The 20474-nt window shown below is 40.4% G+C and overlaps 2 long non-coding RNA genes and 1 pseudogene across 2 annotated transcripts in view; 1 reads left to right on the top strand and 2 right to left on the bottom strand.

Annotated features, from left to right (window-relative positions):
• LINC00993 (long intergenic non-protein coding RNA 993) overlaps positions 1 to 1379 on the bottom strand; it is a 37844-nt gene extending 36465 nt beyond the window's left edge. Inside the window, exon 1 of the long non-coding RNA NR_104061.1 lies at positions 1237 to 1379. This is a non-coding gene — a long non-coding RNA (long intergenic non-protein coding RNA 993). The remainder of the gene's footprint in view (positions 1 to 1236) is intronic.
• Positions 1380 to 3600: 2221 nt separating this feature from the next.
• LOC124902412 (uncharacterized) lies at positions 3601 to 5155 on the top strand. Its single transcript, XR_007062115.1, has 2 exons — positions 3601 to 3691; positions 3807 to 5155. It is a non-coding gene; the product is annotated as an uncharacterized LOC124902412 (long non-coding RNA).
• RN7SL314P (RNA, 7SL, cytoplasmic 314, pseudogene) lies at positions 12876 to 13167 on the bottom strand (annotated as a pseudogene).

Genomic DNA, 20474 nt, shown 5'->3' with positions numbered 1-20474 from the left:
GTCTTTTCCTAGAAGGTTTGAATTAAAATCTCAATTGTCAACATCAGGAACCCAAAGTAATTGTGTTTGCCCAAGGTAAAGCTGAGCTCAGAGTCTCAATTTCCTTTTTTTTTAGATGGAGTCTGGCTCAGCCGCCCAGGCTGGAATGCAGTTGCACGATCTCAGCTCACTGCAACCACCGTCTCCTGGGTTCAAGCGACTCTCCCATCTCAGCCTCCCAAGTAGCTGGGATTACAGGTGCCCATTATCATGCCCGGCTACTTTTTGTATTTTAGTAGAGATGGGGTTTCACCATGTTGGCCAGGCGGTTCTTGAACTCCTGACCTCAGGTAATCCACCCACTTCAGCATCCCAAAGTGCTAGGATTACAGGCGTGAGCCACCACACCCAGCCCAGAGTCTCAATTTTCAAGGAAGTTGCCACCTATTTGCAGGAGAAATTGGAACCACCCGAAACAACAATCAGTATTATGTTTTACAAGCAGCCCCTCCTTTTGCTTATGGATAAAATTAAAATTTACAAAATCTTGGAAATCAGTCACTGCATTTACATTGTACACAAGATATCTTGGAAGTAATATATTTTAGAACATAAAAGAAAAATTTAAGTAGTATTTTCTATTTTACCTACATAGTAATGCCATCTTTGTGACTGATTTTCTCATAGACATGTGAGCTACCTCTCTAGAAGAATTTATTGTAAATATATTTATTTTGGGATATTTGGAAAAATGAAGAATACTTCACTCTTCTAATTTGAAATGCCTTACCTATACATGGTTTTTCTCTAAGCATGGGATGTGAAGCTGGGCCATATTTGTGATCTTTGTGATCACATAGCACTCAGTTTAAGGTATAAACCGAGATAAACTTTGAGTCATACTTTCTCAACTTGATGGAATGGGTGCGTACTTAGAAACTCTGCCTACAAGGCAGCATCCCTATTGACTTCACGGGTTCTCTCAAAGCTCCTTTTTGTCTATATATTTTCTTACCATAACATATCCTTTCTTTTCTTTTTCTATTTTTTAAGATACAGGGTCTTGCTCTCTTGCCCAGCCTGGACTGCAGTGACAGGTCACTGTAGCCTCAAACTCCCGGGTTCAAGTGATCCTCTTACTTCAGTTTCCCAAGTAGCTGATATTACAGGTATGCACCACCATGCCCAGTTAATTTTTAAATTTTTCTATTGCTGTCTGTATTTTCATATCAAGATAAAGCACAAGTTTAGATTTACCTTTTTTTTTTAAAAAATAATCTTTTACTGGGAGGTGGCAAGAGACCCATTTCTTCAGAATTCCTGTATGGCTCATATTCTGTGTCAGGGATTGTGGGAAAGACAATTCCAGGGATAGATGAGCCCCGCACTCATCTCTTCAACTTACACTCTCCATGCCACATCTTCAAACAGGAAGTAGAAACCAGAAATAATCCCAACCAGAAGTGTGCACAGCTCAGGATCACAGTTGCTTGCAAGAAACAGAAGTGACACGTTTGAGTATTCTCTCTTTCAAAAATGGTGCAATGCAATTTCATCAAGGCATTCATTTCACTACACCAAAGCAACAAGTACTATTAAATTTAATGAGAGGTAACCCATGCACCGGCAGGAAGTTCAAGGGGACAGAAGGGGCTTGCTCCACTCTGGAGCCCTATCTCCTCTCACCTCCTTCCTTCTAGTTTGACATGCGATCTTGTCTCTCTCTTTTATAAAGTGCTTCCAGGCCCTTTTGATTAGGATGCTGTCCTAAATCCTTCCTAAAGAGAGGTTTTGGAGCCACCAACACTGCTTCACTGTGGAATAAACTTTCCTTATTAAGATTCTTCATTCACTCATAATCATCTCCTTTTTCCTCACTGCTCATTCATTTATGGAGATAGCACCCATATCATAGCTACTTGGTCAAATCATGGTGATACTCCCCACTTAGGAGAGGAAGATGACTAGGTTATAGCTCTTGCCTTTAGGAAATTAAAAACCCTGTGGTGTAATCTACATTACACAGTGGAATATGGCATATATCATGAAAAAATCCTATGCAGTTTCTGAGAGGACTTCTTAAAGATGAAAAAGTGAGGAATGTACCTGGAAAGATGAACAGGATTGCAGCAGATAGAGACAGGTAGAAGGAGAGAGATTCCAAGTGGAAGGATAAAGGAGAGGGAAGAGAAGCAAAGAGTGCAACTTCCAAGAAGATTTTCTGGTTTCTGGCACTGGTCATAGATAGCTTGGGAGGAAACAGGCAGAGAGGGTTTTGGAGAAACAGAGCTGCAAAGCCAAGTTAGATGTTAGGTGAGTTGAAAAAATAACTTAGGGCAAAAGCAGAGGGAGGGAGGTATTTACTCTGAACAGAGATGACAGGGTGGGGAGGACAGATTGTTTTGAGTAGGCAAAGGCCAGGAGCATGAAGCAAGCTAGGAATTGGGAGGCTGGCCTAGAAGCATGGGCCACCTGGGAAAGGGACAAAAGTTAAAGTATGACAAACCCTTTGTGTTCACCAAATTTCTTTTCTGGAGTCCTTAACCATTTGATCTTACTGGAATAGAAGTTATACTAGAACTCACTGCAAAGTGGAGTAAGGCTTACAGAGGGAAAACAGCAGAGGGCCTAATGCAAGATTAACCTTCTCAGGGACCCCTGCAGGGACTGGGAGTGCTAAGAATCAGGGAGGCTTGGAGCAGCTCACTTTACAGTATAATGAGAACAGGACTCACCTGGCTCAGGCCTGGCATCCAATCATCAGCCCACTCTGGTTTCCATCCTCTGCGCTAGCTGAAAGGCCACATGTACTGCAGCCATTGTTGCTCCCTTTGCCCTTCAGGGTGTCTTTCCCCAGCATCTGTCCCTGCAGCACCCCCACCCCCTCACTCTAATTCTGAGCACTCAAATTGCCCATCAGTCCAAGCCTTCTCCTAATCACAGCCCTCCTACCTCTGAGCCCCTTCATGGAGCCCTGTTCATGGTGCTTGGCATTTTATGACAACTAAACCAAAAAGCAGTGAGGTTTGAAAAAAAAGAGCCAAAAGTCAATCCTGGCAGGGGAGGATTTGCTCTTTGTCTTAAAAAACCAAGAGTACCAGCTTTTGATGGAAAAATTTCAAACCTCAAACAGTGAGTACATTTTGCCCCATCAATTACATCTCTCAGAATTCATCCTAAGGAAAAAAGAAAATGTGTAAAGATCAAGTACAAGAACATTCATGAAAGTGCTATACTATCACATAAACTAGAAATAGATGTCCCACAAGAAGATCTATAATATACTGTGGCACTTACATACAATGAACTTCTGTGCAGCAATTAAAGTAATATAGAATTATCATAGAGAGATGTCATATTCTATGGCTATTGCATAACATGGAATCTATGACAATATCTCATAGAGGACCTATGAAAGGGAAGGGAAGCACGATTGACCCAAGCCTCAAAATTAAACTTGAGGTGTTATCCCCAGATGAGGTAGGTGTACACACAAGTTATATATATAATCTTACACATCTTTATTATGTCACATCTGTGTTCTGTGACACATCAATATATACCATAATTTTCATAGTCCTGATTTGGTATTTCCTCAACTTAGCAAAAACATTCTGGAACTTCAAAAACAGTGGACAGCCAAGCCCTGATGGACTTGAGAGTACCTACCTTTATGTACATACTTATATATTCAAAACAAATGCATGGAATGGTAGGTGGAAATGAGTATCTGGGTGGCAGGACTGTATTGTCATATCTCTTTGTCTGTCTCTATTTCCTGTTTCTTTTCCATAATAGTAAAACTCAACTTTTCCTCCCCAAACAAGGAAACTACAAGAAAGGACTTGGATTTGCCTGCTCCTTCTGCCTCCTATTGTCATGCTTCTGAGGTAAATAGCATCTCTGGAGTCCAGCCAGGACCTTGGATTTTGCTCATGCTAGAAATGCCCAGGGTGGTGCTTGGTCCACAGAAGGTGGATTTGTTCAAGCTGTACTTCTGAAGACACATGTGGGATAATTAACAAGGTATATTTCTTTTAAAAAGCACTGTTGATTTTACAACACTAAGATATTATTTAAAATAGATTATGACTCATATGTATCCCATAAACATGTAAAATATCATGTATCAATAAAAATAGATTTCACTTAGAACTGTAGTTGCTGAAAAAAAAATGAACTTTGAACTCTCCTGTTGAAAATACAAAGCCCCTCCCAAATGAACAGAGGTTATATGGAGATCTGGAAGTATTGCTGTGTTGCTGGTCTTCAAAACTAAGATCTGTAAATATAACACACATTATAACTAATTTTAAAGGTGTGTCTCAGAAAGTTTCCTACTGCCCTGATTTTTACAGATGAATTGAGATCTGGAATCCTAAAATCATTCTAAGGCAATCTACTGACCTCTTAGGTGTTATATGCCTAGGAACCCACTGCAGTAAATTACAGGAAAGTGAGGCTCAGGTGGGTGAAATTCTTGATACGTTAGGACACAAGCTGGTGAGAGCTGAAGACAGAATTAGAGGCTTATCTTATCGTAAGGCCATTGAGCTGTGCAGCACTGCTCTGGGGTTAAATTACAAAGAATATTAATGAAAGACACTCATGAACCTGGGGATCAGGATTAGAGAATGCATTAGCTTCAGCCATGTTACTAATCATACACACCACAGAGCCCGAGGACCAGCCATTCATAAATGTGGTGACAGACTACAAAAATGTTCCTTCCTTCCTTCCTTCTTTCTTTTCTTCCTTCCTTCTTTTTCTTTTCTTCCTTCCTTCTGTCTTTTCTTCCTTCCTTCTTTTTCTTTTCTTCCTTCCTTCTTTTTCTTTTCTTCCTTCCTTCTTTTTCTTTTTTTTTTTTCTGGAGTAACCAGTGTGACATAAGATCTGTTTGTGTTCCCCCATTTTACAAAAGAAAATTTAAGTCTGCAACTTCCCCTAGGCATCTGCAGCAGAGAGTGGATTTGTCAACATGCAAAGCTGCTGATCTGCCCCTGCATGCTGCTCCCTGCCCTAAGTGTGAGGAGGATGAACTGCCCTCTTTTCACCTGCACCTCCCTGGATGGAACAGAGCATCTCCATAATACTTTATGCAGAAGTATCACTTCTATTTAACACCAGAAACCCCAGGCACCAACTTTAAATTTTAAATAAAGGAAAATGTGGACCACTTGCAATGTTACAAAGCAAAAAGAAACACAAGAGGCAAATATTCCAATCTATTCTCCACTCTCAGCATTAACACAACAAAATAAAACAAAACCTGCAACGACAATCAGATTTGTAAAAATACTAGTAGTCAGAATCCCCACCTTATCTTCTCAACAATTTGGCTTTCCAAAATCATTGGTTTTCATGAGTGTGCATGTCAAAAGTTAAATCCCGTTCTCTTGTTACTGTGAGCTGTTTTAGAAAGGGTGGGAATGTAAGTTCTGAACATACCTGCTAAAGGTGGCTGTGCAACGCTGACAGTTAGTAACTGTGCACCCTTCAAAGAGGCTGGCTGAGTTGCAGGTGTGCTGAGCTCAACCATGATCTGCTGGGAATGCACATTCTCAGTGCAGGACAAATGAAATTGGTTCTAACTCTGCAATGCAGCAGAAAAAAGAAATGGCTAGGCATGATGAATTATGCCTGAAATTCCAGCAATTTGGGAGGCTGAGGCAGAAGGATGGTTTGAGACCATTCTAGCAAATAGAATGGTCTATTTCAGACCAGTCTAGGAAAAAAAGTGAGACTTCTGTCTCTACAAAAAATAAAACTAGCTGGTTATGGTGGTGCACCTGTAAGTTCCAGCAACTGGGAGGCTGAGGAGGGAGGCTGAGGAGCGCTTGTGCCCAAGAGAATGAGGCTGCACTAAGCTATGATTGTGCCACTGTACTCCAGCCTGGATGACAAAGTGACACCCTGTCTGGTAAAATAAATTACCACGGGCAGATAAAGTGCTCAGTGAGCCCACACTAATTTGCCACAGAAGGGTGGAAGCAAATTCAAGGCTGAAATCTAGCTCTTCATTTCCTGAAATCATTCATGCCCACTCTCTCCTGGCATGAAATGCTGATAACCTGGTTTCAATTTTAAGCTTAAATTTACAGCAAACAGTGCAGGTATCTCAGTTCAATGCCTTGGAACCTCCTCTAAAGATGATTCTACTAACACTCATTTCAGAAGTGAGTGCAAAATAATTTTTACATAAACAACCAAGTAATCCCACAGCGCCTGCATACCTATTATAACTCAAAAACTACCCTGCACACCTGAGCATGATGTTTAAATACCAAGCCACTGGTATGTCTGGAACACATGCACAAAGGAGACGTAAACCCACAGCTTCTAGCACAAACATCTGCCAACTTAGCTTTCTTGTCACCTGCAACTAATGGTGGGTGAGATTGAGTAATCCCATGAAAATATCATTCCTACAAATTTAGTCACTAAAAACAAAAGATATAACAAACACACTCTTGTTGACAGTAGGCCTTATCAATGTTATTTGTCACTAAGGCACAAAGGAGTTTCATCAATGGACCTTGCTTTTTTGAAACCAGAAAAGTTAGTGGCGGTTTACTGACAGAATGACAGAGCAAGGGTTTCTCAAAATCATCCCCTTATGCTCCTAACGAGCATATTTACCCTCCAGAAAAAATGAGGCAATGCTTTCTGGGGGTTATAATTTAAATACACTAAAATGCATAAATCTTACACATTTAGTTTTTAGCGTTTTAGCAACTGTCTACACCTGTGTAACTACGATGCAAAACAAGATATAGGACATTTTTATTATTTCAGAAAGTTCTCCTGTGCCCTTTTCAGTCAATCTCCACACTCGATAGATAATTACTGCCCTGACTGCTGTCACCATAGCTAAGTTTTGACTATTCCCAAAGTTCACATAAATGGAATGACAAAGAATGAGTTATGTCAAATCTGGCTTCAACATAATGTCTTTGAGATGAATTCATGTTGTTACACGTACCTGTAACACATTCATTTTATTTTTGGAATGTTATTCCATTGTATGAATATATAACAATTTCTTTATCCAATCTCTTGTTTGTGGATGTTTGGATTATTTCCAGTTTAGACCTATTATTAAGAATAAGGCTGCTATGGACAAGCTTCTACAAGTCTTTTTCGTGGACATGTTTCCATTTTTTTCACATAAACAAGTGGAAGTGGGATTGCCATGTTATTTGGGAAGATTATGTTTAGCTTTATAAGAAACAGCCAAAGAGTTCTCCAAAGTGGCTGTCAGGACAAGGTAAATGCACATGCATTCTAGTTGCTCCAGGTCCTTGCCAGCATTTGGTATGGCATCTTTCTGATACGAGCCACTCTAGCGGCTCATGGGGAAATGGGGCTGTGCATGAGATGGGACTACCCTGATCAACTTTCCCAGTGCCAGTGAGCTACCTCAGACTGAACCTACATGAGAGGGGTTGCTCTCCACTGACTCATAGGACAGCCCAAGGTTATGTGGAGGCAGTGAGTTATCTCAACTGATTGCTCAGTCAATTACAGATTCAACTCCTCCTTCTATTCTTTCCCTACTTCTCAATACTGTACTTTACTAGTCCTTAAACACATTTTTTTTTTTTTACTTAAAAAAAAGAAGCTCCAGAAAGGAAACTTTGAAGCAAAATAAGGACTCCCTCTCCCTCCAGAACATAAAGAATGAGGTGTGTTTTGTTTGAGTTGGTGGCAACATTTAAACTCTTGTTTATCCCCTAGGAGGTAAGGAGAAGATATTTTCCAATTTTCCCAAACAGGGTGTTATGAGGTAAAGTTCTGTGAGAGAAAGGTGAGGCCCTTAAATCTGTCAAATTATTAACTGATTTTTCTTCTACAGGTGGTGATTTTTTGAATTTCCTATCTTTGTCTTTAGCACCCAATTTTAGAGACCAAATGGTTGGTCTAATCAAATAGTTATTTTGTGTTATCCAGAATGACCCCTGCATTCCACTCTCCAGTAACTTCCTGAAGCTTTTATCTTGATGTAAAAACAGGGCAGTTTCCACACCATTCTCCAGAGGGTGATGTGAGAAACCGAGGAAGGGAAACAGCATATTGCTGCTGAAACATGTGACTCCATTCCAAGGTTAGAATAGAACAGGTTTAAAACTGGTACTGTGTGGTTTAAAGATAAGCAGCCTGTGCTGTCTTTTATTTTCAGAAATAACATAAATAAACAACAATTACTGAACGCAATGTGCAATCTCTATCTTCTGTGTTTCGGGGTCAATTGTCTAACAGGAGCCACAGGAAGAGCTTCAGAGGCACCCAGATGCCAAGCCTCAATTCCCACTGTGACTCTACTCTGGCAGAGGTGAGACTTCACCTTCCAGAAACTATGCTGGGGGCCTCTGTGTCTGTGGCATATTGTTTATATTGTGTGTTTATAGGCAATTTTAACAATCACTGTTTCTAGATTGCAACCCTCCTGAGGCACTGCGCTGACACAGCAAAGTTATTCCCCTTACTGAAGAGAAAAATTAGAGGCCTAAACACCACAGAAGCCCTGATAATATGGAATATTAGCATCAATGTCAGAGCACAGTATTTAGGACAGATACTGATAAAGACAGCATAGATGACCACCTCACCTTGTCACCACCTGAGCGAGGAGCCCTTAAAAGATGGGTTTCCTCCCCGTGATTACGGCCTGCTGGCTTCTCCAGGACTGGGTTAAGGCACAGCTAAAGCTGTTCTCTTGGCCCTGCAGAGCCAAACCCTGGACCTTTCCAGGAAATGGATAAATACCATTTCACTTCATTCATTCACTGCTGCCTGTGGTGCCTGAATACATGCCCTGTGGCATCATCTGTGAGTTACCCACACTTCCCACAGCAGATGCATAGGGAGGAGGTACTTTACTCACCCTTCCTCTGACAGAAAAGGATGAAGTCAAGGGCCTGGTAGAGGCACCACTAAGAAAGGCATCTGAAAGGACCAAAGAGAGTGACCAGCAAGCATTTTTTGCAAGGCTGAGGAGCTGACAGCTTCCATGAAAGGCTGGACCACCCAGTGGTGAAAAGCATCATCTGGGTTACCTTGTGCTGCCATAAAACACACCACAGACTTGGTGACTTAAACCACAGATATTTATCTTCTCACAATCCTGGAGGCTGGAAGTCTGCAATCACGGTGCCAGCATGGTCAGGTTCTGGTGAGGGCCTCTTTCCTTCTCACTGTGTGCTCTTTCTTGTGCATGGAGAGAGAGAGCATGAACAAGCCCTCTACTGTCCCTCTTAGAAGGGCACTAATCCCATAATAAGGCATCCACCCTCCTGACCTCGGCTAACCCTAGTTAAGTACTCAAGGCCCTAATCTCAATACCATCACATTGGTGGTTAGGGCTGTAACATTGGGATATGGGGCAAGACACAAACATTCAATCCAAAGCAAGCATGTCCACACTGTTGGGACTCCAATCCCACTTTTGTCATTGAGTCATTATTTAACCACTGTACCTCAGTTTTGTCCTCTTTAAAATAAGGAAAATATACCTTGTAGGGTTACTGTGAGACTTAAATGAATTACTAAATGTAAAAAACTTTATAAGATTCTTGGCACATGGTAACTGCCATACCTATTACCCATAACTAACTGATTTTTTACACAATTTACTATAATATAACCACAATTCTTATTCAAACATCCTGGACCTAGCTAACAGTGACACGTGATGATTTCTGAATGAGTTTTGAGAAGAAACTGAGTCCCAAAGAGTGCAACTTTCTCCCACTGTCAGAAGGCCTACACACCACTCTTCTCAGAGAGGTGGAAGAATTGAGCTGTGCTTTGGAACTCTCGATTACATCAGGAACAGATTGCTGATTGGTGACAGATAGCAAGTGTTAATAGTGATGTTGGTGCTGAGACAAAGCTGACATCTCTTCATCATGCTCCAATACAAGCATCATTCCCTTGTGCCCAATGCCGATTGGCTGCCTTCTATTTTAATTAATTGATGCTGGTAAACTTTCTCTTACAATGCGGTGGCAAGTCCTGCTTCTTATCTTTACAGAACTTCACTCAGGACACACTCAGATGTTGCTCTTTGATCATGAAGGATGTTCACCAGCAACTTAGTGCCCAAATAGACAAGAGAAAGGGGGGGTGATGATTGCTCATGAGAAGTGTTGTTCACATAGCTGCACATCAAACTGCTGAACTGGGTGCCTGCCTCAGTCAGGGCCCCAGGAAGAAGGGGGTGATTCTCAGCCTAAGTTGTGCTCCAGAGCCTCAGCTGCTTCTGCAGGGCTGGGGAGGGAATAAGGCCACCTCCATTACACAGAGTGGAACTGCCCAGGCCATTTGCTTATTTGATCCTTATCACTGAGAAAAGGAATTTCAGAGCTGGAAGTCCTGGAAGTCCTGGAAACCATCTTGGCACTCAGTCTTTTCTGTAGCCTCCAAGATGGCAGGAATCATAAGCTGGAGACATCTAGTTATTGTTGCTGCTGTTGATGAAGACTCCTCTCGCCCCAACAGTGGGCCTCACAGGTGCTAAAGACAAGTGGTCACCCACAGGGCTTAATGGCAGTGACCCTGGGAGGGACAGCGTCCCTAGCCTCTACTTTTCTACATGGAATTAATGAAAATGTAGAGAATAGAAGACACAGAATGTATATACACATGAACATATCCTGAATAAGAGCTATTTTATCTCACTGAAAAGTTCGTATCAATCACTTATTGGGGCATTCAGAGCATCCTTTGAAAGGCCAGTGTGACCTGAAGATTCATGGATCCTAAATTAGAGTACTGCCTGTGCGTAGCTGCATTAAACCAAATGATCAAGAATATCAAGATACATCTTCCTGGATCTTCAATCCCACTTAAAGATTTGGAGAACATATCATTTTATATTAAAACCAATAACATTTTCAGAATACATTTGAATAATTTCTTTTTACCTAAAAACAGAGTCTTTAAATAAGTATCATTTTTGAGATGCATTGCCATAGGATACATACTGAGGTGTCTTCTCTTTCTCTTACCTATTAGAGGCATTTCTGGGCAAGTTTGAGGAGCATGGAATTAACAGTCATCAATGCATTGCTGGATTTGAAAATGATTTATATCAATCAGCAGAGGACCTCCACTGGTGATGTCAGCAGGATCTGAGGATGTTCAGGTAGACATGCTATGCTTTGAATCTCCAAACTTGAACGACATTATGACTGTGCTCATAGCCAGGCTTCCCTTGCTTGTGGTCATTGCTGTGGATCAAGGTTGTTTTGCCTTCCATGCAGTGGATTTGCTGAGGTGCTTCTCAATCTGTATCTCAGAATTGAGATGTATGAGAAAGATTCTCAGGAGGGGAGAGATATCCTCTTGGGGACACGACCATTGGCTTCCTTGGCCTCATTGAGTAGCAGTGAATATGGACCAGGGGAGGAGAGCGGCAGGACTCACAGGGATGGTCTCAGCAGTGGAGGATGGTGGCAAAGAGTGAGGACTTAAGATTCAGATGAACCTTGCCTGGAACTGTGCCTCTGTGCCTTAGACTGCAACACTTCAGAGGTTAATTAACTTCTCTGTGCCTCACTTCCCCCTCTGTAAAACCAAGACAGCAGTAGAACTCACAGGGCTGCCCTGCCTAGCACAGTTAGCTGTACTCCTACTTCCACACATTCCATTTCACCAAAAGCCCAAGAAGCTATGAAATGAAAACTTCAAAACTAAGCTATGTTTCTTCGTTCCTCAAATTCTACTTCTCCACCCACAAATATGTGTACACTGATCTTAAAACAGCTCTGGCTGTAAAATCACTTTGCTGGAGTCAATGAGGTAAGAGGCTAGAACACAATACTAGGGATCTGACCCCTGCAGGCTGGCCATGATCCATCCCTCAGGCAGCCTTCCCAGAGCAGAAAAATCCAGGGAGCCACTTAATGAGACGTTTTCTTTAATGTTTTCTTTAACTCTGACAATTGCAACTGAAATTTAGCAGGAGCTTGTAGCCCTCCAAAATTCTTTCTCTTTCTTTCTCTCTCCCTCTCTCCCTCTTGCTGCTACTCTTTTTACTGCTTTTATGCACCAAACTTCATGGTTTTTTTTTTAATGGAATGATGTTCTTGGGGAAGAAAAGATTTAATAAAGATATCATGGTAACACCAATGAAAATTGTAAAAAAGTCCAAATTTAAAAGTTAAAATCTTGGTATCTACTTTTAACATTGATTTATTTCCTTTATAAAATGAATAATGTTACAACCACTACAACCATGCCTTTCTTCCGCCAGCGGTTTTTGAACGCTTATTGCACGTCAACCTCTTGTTTACTTCTCAGAGACACAAATATGAAGAAAGCACAGTCCCCAAAGCTTACTGATAGGCACAGGCTCTACACATCTGACAGAATGGGATGTGTATCTGAGACTAGTGATTCATTTATACACACACCCTTATGGGTGCACAGGAGGATTCACCAGCACACCCTGCAATCACTCCAAACTTCCAACAGAAGTTTTCCAAATCATAAACACTTTCAAATTTAGTCTAAAATCAACCCTCACTTTCTCCCCCTTTTCCCTAATACTTCCTATTTTCATCAATGACACACTGCCCTCAGGCATAAGTGAAAGGTGGGTCTTGGTTTCAGTTTCTACTCTCTTCTATCCATACCCCTTCCTGGGTATTCCCACATATATTATTTCAAAACCCTTGCAATAGAGATACTAATTATTCCCATTTCACAGATGAAGCAAATAAGGCTCAGGGGTTCAATCCAATGTCATATAGTAAAGGGCCGAGGCAAGATTTGAATCCAGGTCTCTCCAATGCTAGAGTCTGTGACTGTTTCATGGTATCTCACACACACACACACACACACACACACACACACACACACATATATATATATTTTTTAATAAATTTTTTATGAGAGACAGAGTCTGGCTATATTGCCCAGCTGGAGGGAAGTGGCTATTCACAGATGTGAGCCCACTACTGACCAGCGCAGGAGTTCCGATCTGATCTGTTTCTGACCTGAGCTTGTTCGCCCCTCCTTAGGCACCCTGGTGGTCCCCTGCTCCCAGGAGGTCACCATATTGATGTCGAGCTTAGCACCAGTAACCTTTCAGTGTCACATTCTACAGCCCAGAACTCCTGGGCTCAAGCAAGCCATCCTCCTGCAGACCTATATGCTTAGTAGACAATGGCTTTAATTTCTAGTTCATAATTTATTAATATTTTCTATATTATGATTTACTACCATTTTAATAACTTTTATTTTCATCAATTGCAAGCCTTACAATTTGTATAAAATAGCTTCAATTTTTAGCCCAGCAATCCTAGTCTGACTTTATCTCATACACATTTTACTATATTCCTGACTATTGTCTATTTTGCTTACAATGTAAGAGTTTAAAATGATAAATGAAATAATTGGACTGTTTTCAAGGAGTGTTGCTGTTCCTCCAGCACACTGCAGTTGTGCTATGTGAGCAACCAGTCATGCATCATTCATAAAGCAAAAGCTGCTGTATCTTGCTGCTCAGTTAATAAGCAACACAAAGCTCATTCATAAATAGAAGATTGGGAATCTAAAAAGTCCATCACATTATACTGGATTTCATGGTTCCTCACTATTCCTTAGTAGGACAAGTCTTATTAAGTTTGATACCAATAAAGTAAAAGTAAGATTAGTCTTCAAATCATACCAGAGGGGATCAGCAGCTTACAAAATACAGAGTCATACACTTAACAATGGAGATGCATTTTGAGAAACGCATCCTTAGGGGATTTTATTATTATGGGAACATCCTGGAGTGTACTTACACAAACCTAACCAGTTGCTTTGCCTCTTCCACCTGTTTACCTTCTGCTCCTCCTTCCTCACTACAGCAATGAAGCCACCCCACAGTCCCCCTTTAAGCACTAATTATACCACCCCCTGGCTTCTCTTGTACCAAACGCATAGTATTTTATCCCATCATGATCCAAACATTATGAAAACACTCATGGGCGCTCTGCTGTTTCTTGGTATCACCTACATTAGCAACTGATATGGCTAGAATGGAGGTGTGGTTTCCCCACAAGCCCCCTCCTAAGTGATTTCCATCTTGGCCAACAGCTCTACTACCTCCCTGGCTTCTTGCTTAGCAAAACTCTAGCAGATGCCTTTGATTCTTCTCTTTCCTTAACATTTGAGAGATACAAATAAAATCTTAAGCCCCTTAATCAACTGGAAATACCCCTCTCTTGGCCAAGAGGATTCCAGAGAAACCTTAAAAACTGAGTTATTGGCCATGACAGATGGGAGGTCAAGTGTGCCTCAGTATGCCCCTTCCTTATCAACCTTTAGCCAAAACTCCTTCGTAAGGAGTAAGCAGAGACCAGCTCTGGAAAACAATAAATAGATGACTTGTTTCTTCATCATTTTTAGCAAACCATCTGAGGCTGCTACAAGATTCCCCTTCCTCTTCACTGCTTCCAGGTGACAGTTCACTCATCACACAATGCATTTCTTTCTAAACAGTGACTGCCATCTCTGGATGTGTTTTGGCTGACTCTCAAAGGATGCAGTGAGGGTTTTGGCATCCTTCACTTTACCTTTTGATGTCAGAGGGCTAAAAAGTCCACCTCAGATCACACTAATGCCATTTTTTAAAATATGCAATCCATGAAAAGCCATTAAGAATTGTTCCTGAACAGGTTTCTCCTCTCATAAATATTTGTAACTCCTCCTATAGCTCATTAAATATGTATATTTTGCCACCCACTCGGCATGCATTTCTGTCTTGCCTTCCATTCCGTCCAAGTGCTTCCTCTCAGCTATGCCTCCCAGCCAGCAGGATGGCCAGCCCTCAGTCAGTAACCCTTCATGAGAAATAAAGTTCTTTCCAAATTTTGAATCCTGTGATTCTTCAGTTGACATCTTCTACTCCAGTCCCTCCACAGGTGCTATCATCCTAAACACAGCCATGTTCCTCGTGTCCACCTGACTCTCAAATGCAAGTCTTCACCAGCCACTTGGCCTCCCTGCCTCCACTCCTTCCCCTGTGCCATCTATTTCTCACAGAGTGTCAGAGTCAGCTTTTAAAGTGAATATCAGAGGATATCATTTTCTGGCTGAAGCTCTCCATAGGCTCTCCATCCCATCTCCAGGAAAAGTCAAGTTTCTTGCTCTGTCTTTTACAAAGGTTCCCATTGTCCAGGTGCTGTGCACCCCTCTTCTCTCCTTTCTGCCACTCTCCCTACCACCTGCTCTTTCCTGCCTGGCTGGTTGGCTGTGGCCCTGTCCTCAGAACATACCATATTCTGTGTCCTTGGCTCAGCTTGGCCTCCCCTGGCATGGGCAGCACCAGCTCCGTTCCTCACTCAGGTCACTACCGAGATGGTGCCTCCCCTGGGAGGCTTCCATGATCTCCATGATCTGCAGGAAGTACACAGTCCCTCGCTATTGTAATTCTCGACATAACCGTAGTATATTTTCAGGGGAGTATACCAGACACATTTATGTGTTACCTGGCAAAACTCTAAATAAATTAAGCCCTATATCCTCAATTTGTCAGACATACCCAGGCTCAGGAGATTACATGTACTGTGGCATGTCACACTACAAGGAGCAGAAAGAACAGCTCCTCTAATATAGAATTGCCAGGGCACACTGGCAGGTCATCATAAGCTGCCCTGGCTCTATAGAGCTCCAGCATTCAGACTAGGAACCAATGCACGCGTGCAGCCATGCTTGTCAGTAATAAACTTCCCTGGACTTATACTAAAACCGTATTTTATTGATATGTCCAGTATGTTTTAAGAAAACAGTCTCAAACTCGGGTCTATCTAATATTACCAGCCACTTAACACTATGTGATAACTTTTTATGCTTTCAGCCCTGGATATTCTTTGAAGAATATTTTCTATAAGGAGTTCTAAAATCCTTCGATCCTCATATTGATACAAAAAAATTAAACACATGAACAAAATCTCTGTGCTTCACACAAAGGTGAGATCCAACCTGTGGCCCCATACAGTCACCAGTGTCATCAAATAGGCCACTACAGTGTAGGGGGATGCAGGGGCAGCTTCAAGCCATGAATGAGACAGCATTACACTCTGTATACACAGTGCCCTAGAATATCTGTGTGAAACAGGTGGAGGAAAAAAAGATGACTAATTTGTGTGTGTGTGTGTGTGTGTGTGTGTGAGAGAGAGAGAGAGAGAGAGAGAAAGACAGAGAGAGGTGAAAGTTTCCATTTGTTGTTGGCATTGTCTTTTAACTTCTTTTTCATAGGCATCAAGAAAATTCCACCCCTAAAGCCAAATTAAATGTCTCATAACCAAAGAGATTAGTAAGTGGTATGCAAGACAGGCTCTGCACGGAAGGTACTCAAGCTGACAACACCTACTAATAGAAATGAGAAAAAGGTTTTGAAGGTCACACACCTCCATCTTCTTAAAAGACTATGGAGTCTCAAAATCAAGCAAACCACACACATACACAAAAACAATTCAGTACAACAAATCTGTTAAATATATTATGTTGGAATTTTAAAAATGTATCAGACAAAAGAAAATCTTCTTTGGCCTGTTTTTTCTTCTTTTCCCAGAGTGGGACACTTTGGCCATCCCTGTGAAACACTTATACACTTAAATGCAGAGGCAAGAACTGTAGCAGATTCCCTCCAACATTGGTCTGAACCACCTCACAGAGTCCACTAATGATATTTATATACTGTAAGTTAACAGGGATGAAGACAGGGATCGAATGGCTCAGATCTAAGAAGCAACATAATTTCTACCCCATTTGGAATATAATGCACTTTCAATCAGATCATTTTTGTGTGGCAGAACTTTGCACTAAAGAAACATCAAATACATGTTGAGGAAAACCACAGATCAGTCTAAAACTGAGTAAAGCAATGAACAACATGTATTAAAACATGCTTCTATTAAACAAAGTAAATCTCAGGGACCATCTTTGGTTTCACTAAGTCCACTCAGGAAGAGACACAGCATGTTCCTAAGGCAATGTAAGGTTCATTTCCTCATGCATAGCTTGACAGAGCACTTATGGCCCATCGCAGAATGTGAGCACCCTTTTATCATCACAGACTCTCAATTCAGAGCTTTGCTAATTTGAAAAAATGTGTTTTAGGTTGTGATTTGGCAGACATAACTTAACCTGGGAGTAATGCTTTAAAACAAATTTCATAACATCTACCATGTCATTTTTAACCAATATCTTTAATATCTTCTGTTTCCACAGAACTTAAATGTAGCTCTGTTTTTACATGCTAAAGACATAGGTCGTTCTTTACCTCTATGGAATATTCACTTTTAGCAATAAAAGGCTCCAACAGGCCAGGTGCGATAGCTCATGCCTGTAATCTCAGCACTTTGGGAGGCCAAGGTGGGTGGATCACGAGGTCAGGAGTTCGAGACCAGCCTGGTCAAGATAGTGAAACCCCGTCTCTACTAAAAATACCAAAATTAGCCAGGCGTGGTGGCAAGCAACTGTAATCTCAGCTACTAGGGACGCTGAGGCAGGAGAATCACTTGAAGCTGGGAGGTGGAGGTTGCAGTGAACTGAGATCGCACCACTGCACTCCAGCCTGGGTGACAGAGCAAGACTCTGTCTCAAAAAAAAAAAAAAACTCCAACTACGAAAAAAAATAGATTTTCCAAATATTTTCTTATTTCTACTCCACAGACTTATGCTCAAAATCAGTATGTCCCACAAGAATAAAGAAAACAATTATTGTGTAAAATGTCATCTAAGTCCCTAACAGGCACTTCTGTCTCTTAGAGGCTTGAGTTAAAAATGGATCAATTTTGAGGATGGTCTGTTGGTCATTAGGACATAAGTACAAATACACATCTGGGGAAAAAATATCTACAGCATTCGTTTTGTCCAGTGAATCACTGGAAAATATTTCATTAAAATACAATCCTGAAATTGATATAGAAATTATTTTAAAATTTAATTGATGTATAATTTTCTTCTATCTAATATTTGTGTGCCAAGTATTCTATTAGGTATTTAAAGATATACAAAAGATAAAAAAGCTCTGTCTCCAATTACAAAGTAAATTGAGCTGTAGGCAACTATATATAAAGTGTTGTGCTACTGATATATATTTGGAAGTTGTTTTTGAAGCCTTGGTATATGACATAAACTAGAGGGAAAGTAAAAAAAATTAAAAATACAAAAAACTTGAAGAGAAAATTCTCCAGCCCAATTTAAGAGATGAGTGATGGAGGAGAATAAACTAATCAAACAGCAGTAAGGAAAGCTAGAAAAGAATTATGCTTCAGAAGCAAAAGAGAAAAAATTTTTAGAAGGAATGAATGGGCAGAAGTAAGTGCTGCCAGGAGAGTGACCATCATGAAGCTTAAGGAGAAGTCACACATTTAAGAAGGAAGATGCAGAAGTGACAGTGACAAAATGCCACAGGAAAAGAGCTAAGGTGCACAAAAACATATACCAAGCCTCAGATAATTGTTCTTTTTTAGAAGAACACTAAACCACCAATGGGCCTCAAGCAAGGGTGAACAGGGTTATGATGAAAGCACATCTCAAAATTTTTTCTAAGAATAGTGAAGTTACTGCTTAAAGAGTTCTATAGCCACAAAATAGAGAAAAGTGTGTGATTTAGAAAAAACACTAGAGGATTTTTCATGCAAGCTTTCATGAAATCTTTCATCTAGGGGATTTTTTCATCCTTTCAATATAAAGATGTAACTTTTTATTAATTTTAATTAATCATTTGTTATACATATGACAAAGGATGAGCAAACAAATTTAACAGCAACTAAAAGACATTAATCTGTATTAGGATGTGGAGAAAAAGCTCGGGGCTGAAACAACAAAAACAAAAATAGTAAAACAAATTACTGTCTGAAGGTGATATACAAATGAAATTTAAATATTTGTGGAGGATGCAAAAAGGATGTTTTTCTTATGTGCTAGAAATTACACTGCTTCTTGGCATAGTCACCGATAGGTCATAGAAAAAAATGCCATATTTAGCTAAAGAAGAGAAGGAAACTTCAGAAATAGTCTTTCCAGATTAATAAAAGAAAAAAGTTTCTTATTTCAATAAAATATTCATCTTTACTAAACTTGCAGGTTTCTATGTACCACAAGGTTGAATAACCGAGCTGCAAAATGTTTGAGAACATTGCATATTCCCAGCCACATCGACTCTCTTGATTAGTGACTGCAGGCAATGTCTATACTTTGTTGCTTCCTCTTCCATTTTAGCTTTTTATGAACTTGATAGAGAAAAAAGGCAAGTCTTTTTATCAGCCAATTTCTGATATTTTATACAAAATATTTATAGGCATCTTTTAGATAAAGTTCTCTAATCAGATAAAATCTGGTGTTACTAAATTCTCGTCAATGTATTGTTTTGGCCCTACCATGAAATTGCAGACAGAATTTTACAACACGTGAAAGCAATTTCACTTTTGTAAAGTTAAAACAAAATTGAAATAGTCGAGCATTCTTACAGAGCAATCATGGCACTCTGTCTTGCTGACCTGTGCTTCCTTTGTTAGGAAGAAGGCTGTTTATCCATTCTGCAAATGCTGGTGGTCCCTAGGGTCTGGGCTCTGTTTCTTTCTGTCTCCTTCCTCCATCTCCATTGGCAGTACCGGTACCATTCTTCTACGACATCAAGTATCACCCAAATGGCAGTAATAGCCAAGTCAGTGTGTTGAAATAAATTTCTAGATTATTTATTACATAAGCAGACCACTGAAACATTTATTCAAAAGTATTCCATTGAGAGTCAAAAACATATTGATATGATTATTATTGGTCTGTTAAAGAAAACAAAATAAAAAGAACAAACTGGGAATTATCAATAAACAAATCAAAACTTAGATGTAATTATAACCTAAAGGGCTCACAGGGCAAATGTGAAGCAAGCTTCTGTCTCAGAGCCTGCATATGGAAGACATGTAGTACTTAGCTTTGTCGTCTTTCTTTCCTCCTCTTGTTTGAGTTTAGTATTAATAAAAGTTGGACTGAGAAAACCTTTTTTTACAATCTTATGGGTTATTTTTAGTGTAAACGTTTTAGAAGTAGAATATACATATAAAAACTGCACAGATCAAATGTGTGCATCTCAAATGGTGTTCCATTTTCAAAATATGAATACATATGGGCAGCATTTATATTTTTAAAAAGTCAGAAGGTGCCTCCTCATGCCCTTTCCACTTCTCACTCATTGTCCCTCAACCCAGGCATAACTACTCTCCTGACCTCCAACATCATAAACTAGTTTCGCAAGCTTTGAAACTTTATCCAAATGAGTCATACAGGATAGATGTTCACAGAGCCTACTTAGATATTATGGATCCTTGCCAGGTATATAAAAAGTGTTGCAGATAAGCCCAACAAACATCTGGGCTGGTGGTGCAGGGGCAAAATAATTTACGAAGACGGTTGTAGATAAAGAAAGGTAGACTTATGAGAGAAAATATAAAAATATGTTGCAAGAAAGCAATGAGCACACCAGCACGAGAGAA

The sequence above is a fragment of the Homo sapiens genome, chromosome 10, assembly GCF_000001405.40.
Source record: "Homo sapiens chromosome 10, GRCh38.p14 Primary Assembly".
Taxonomy (NCBI): Eukaryota; Metazoa; Chordata; class Mammalia; order Primates; family Hominidae; genus Homo; species Homo sapiens.
Note: the sequence above shows the minus strand (reverse complement) of the source record. Positions and strands in the feature narration are given on the sequence as shown.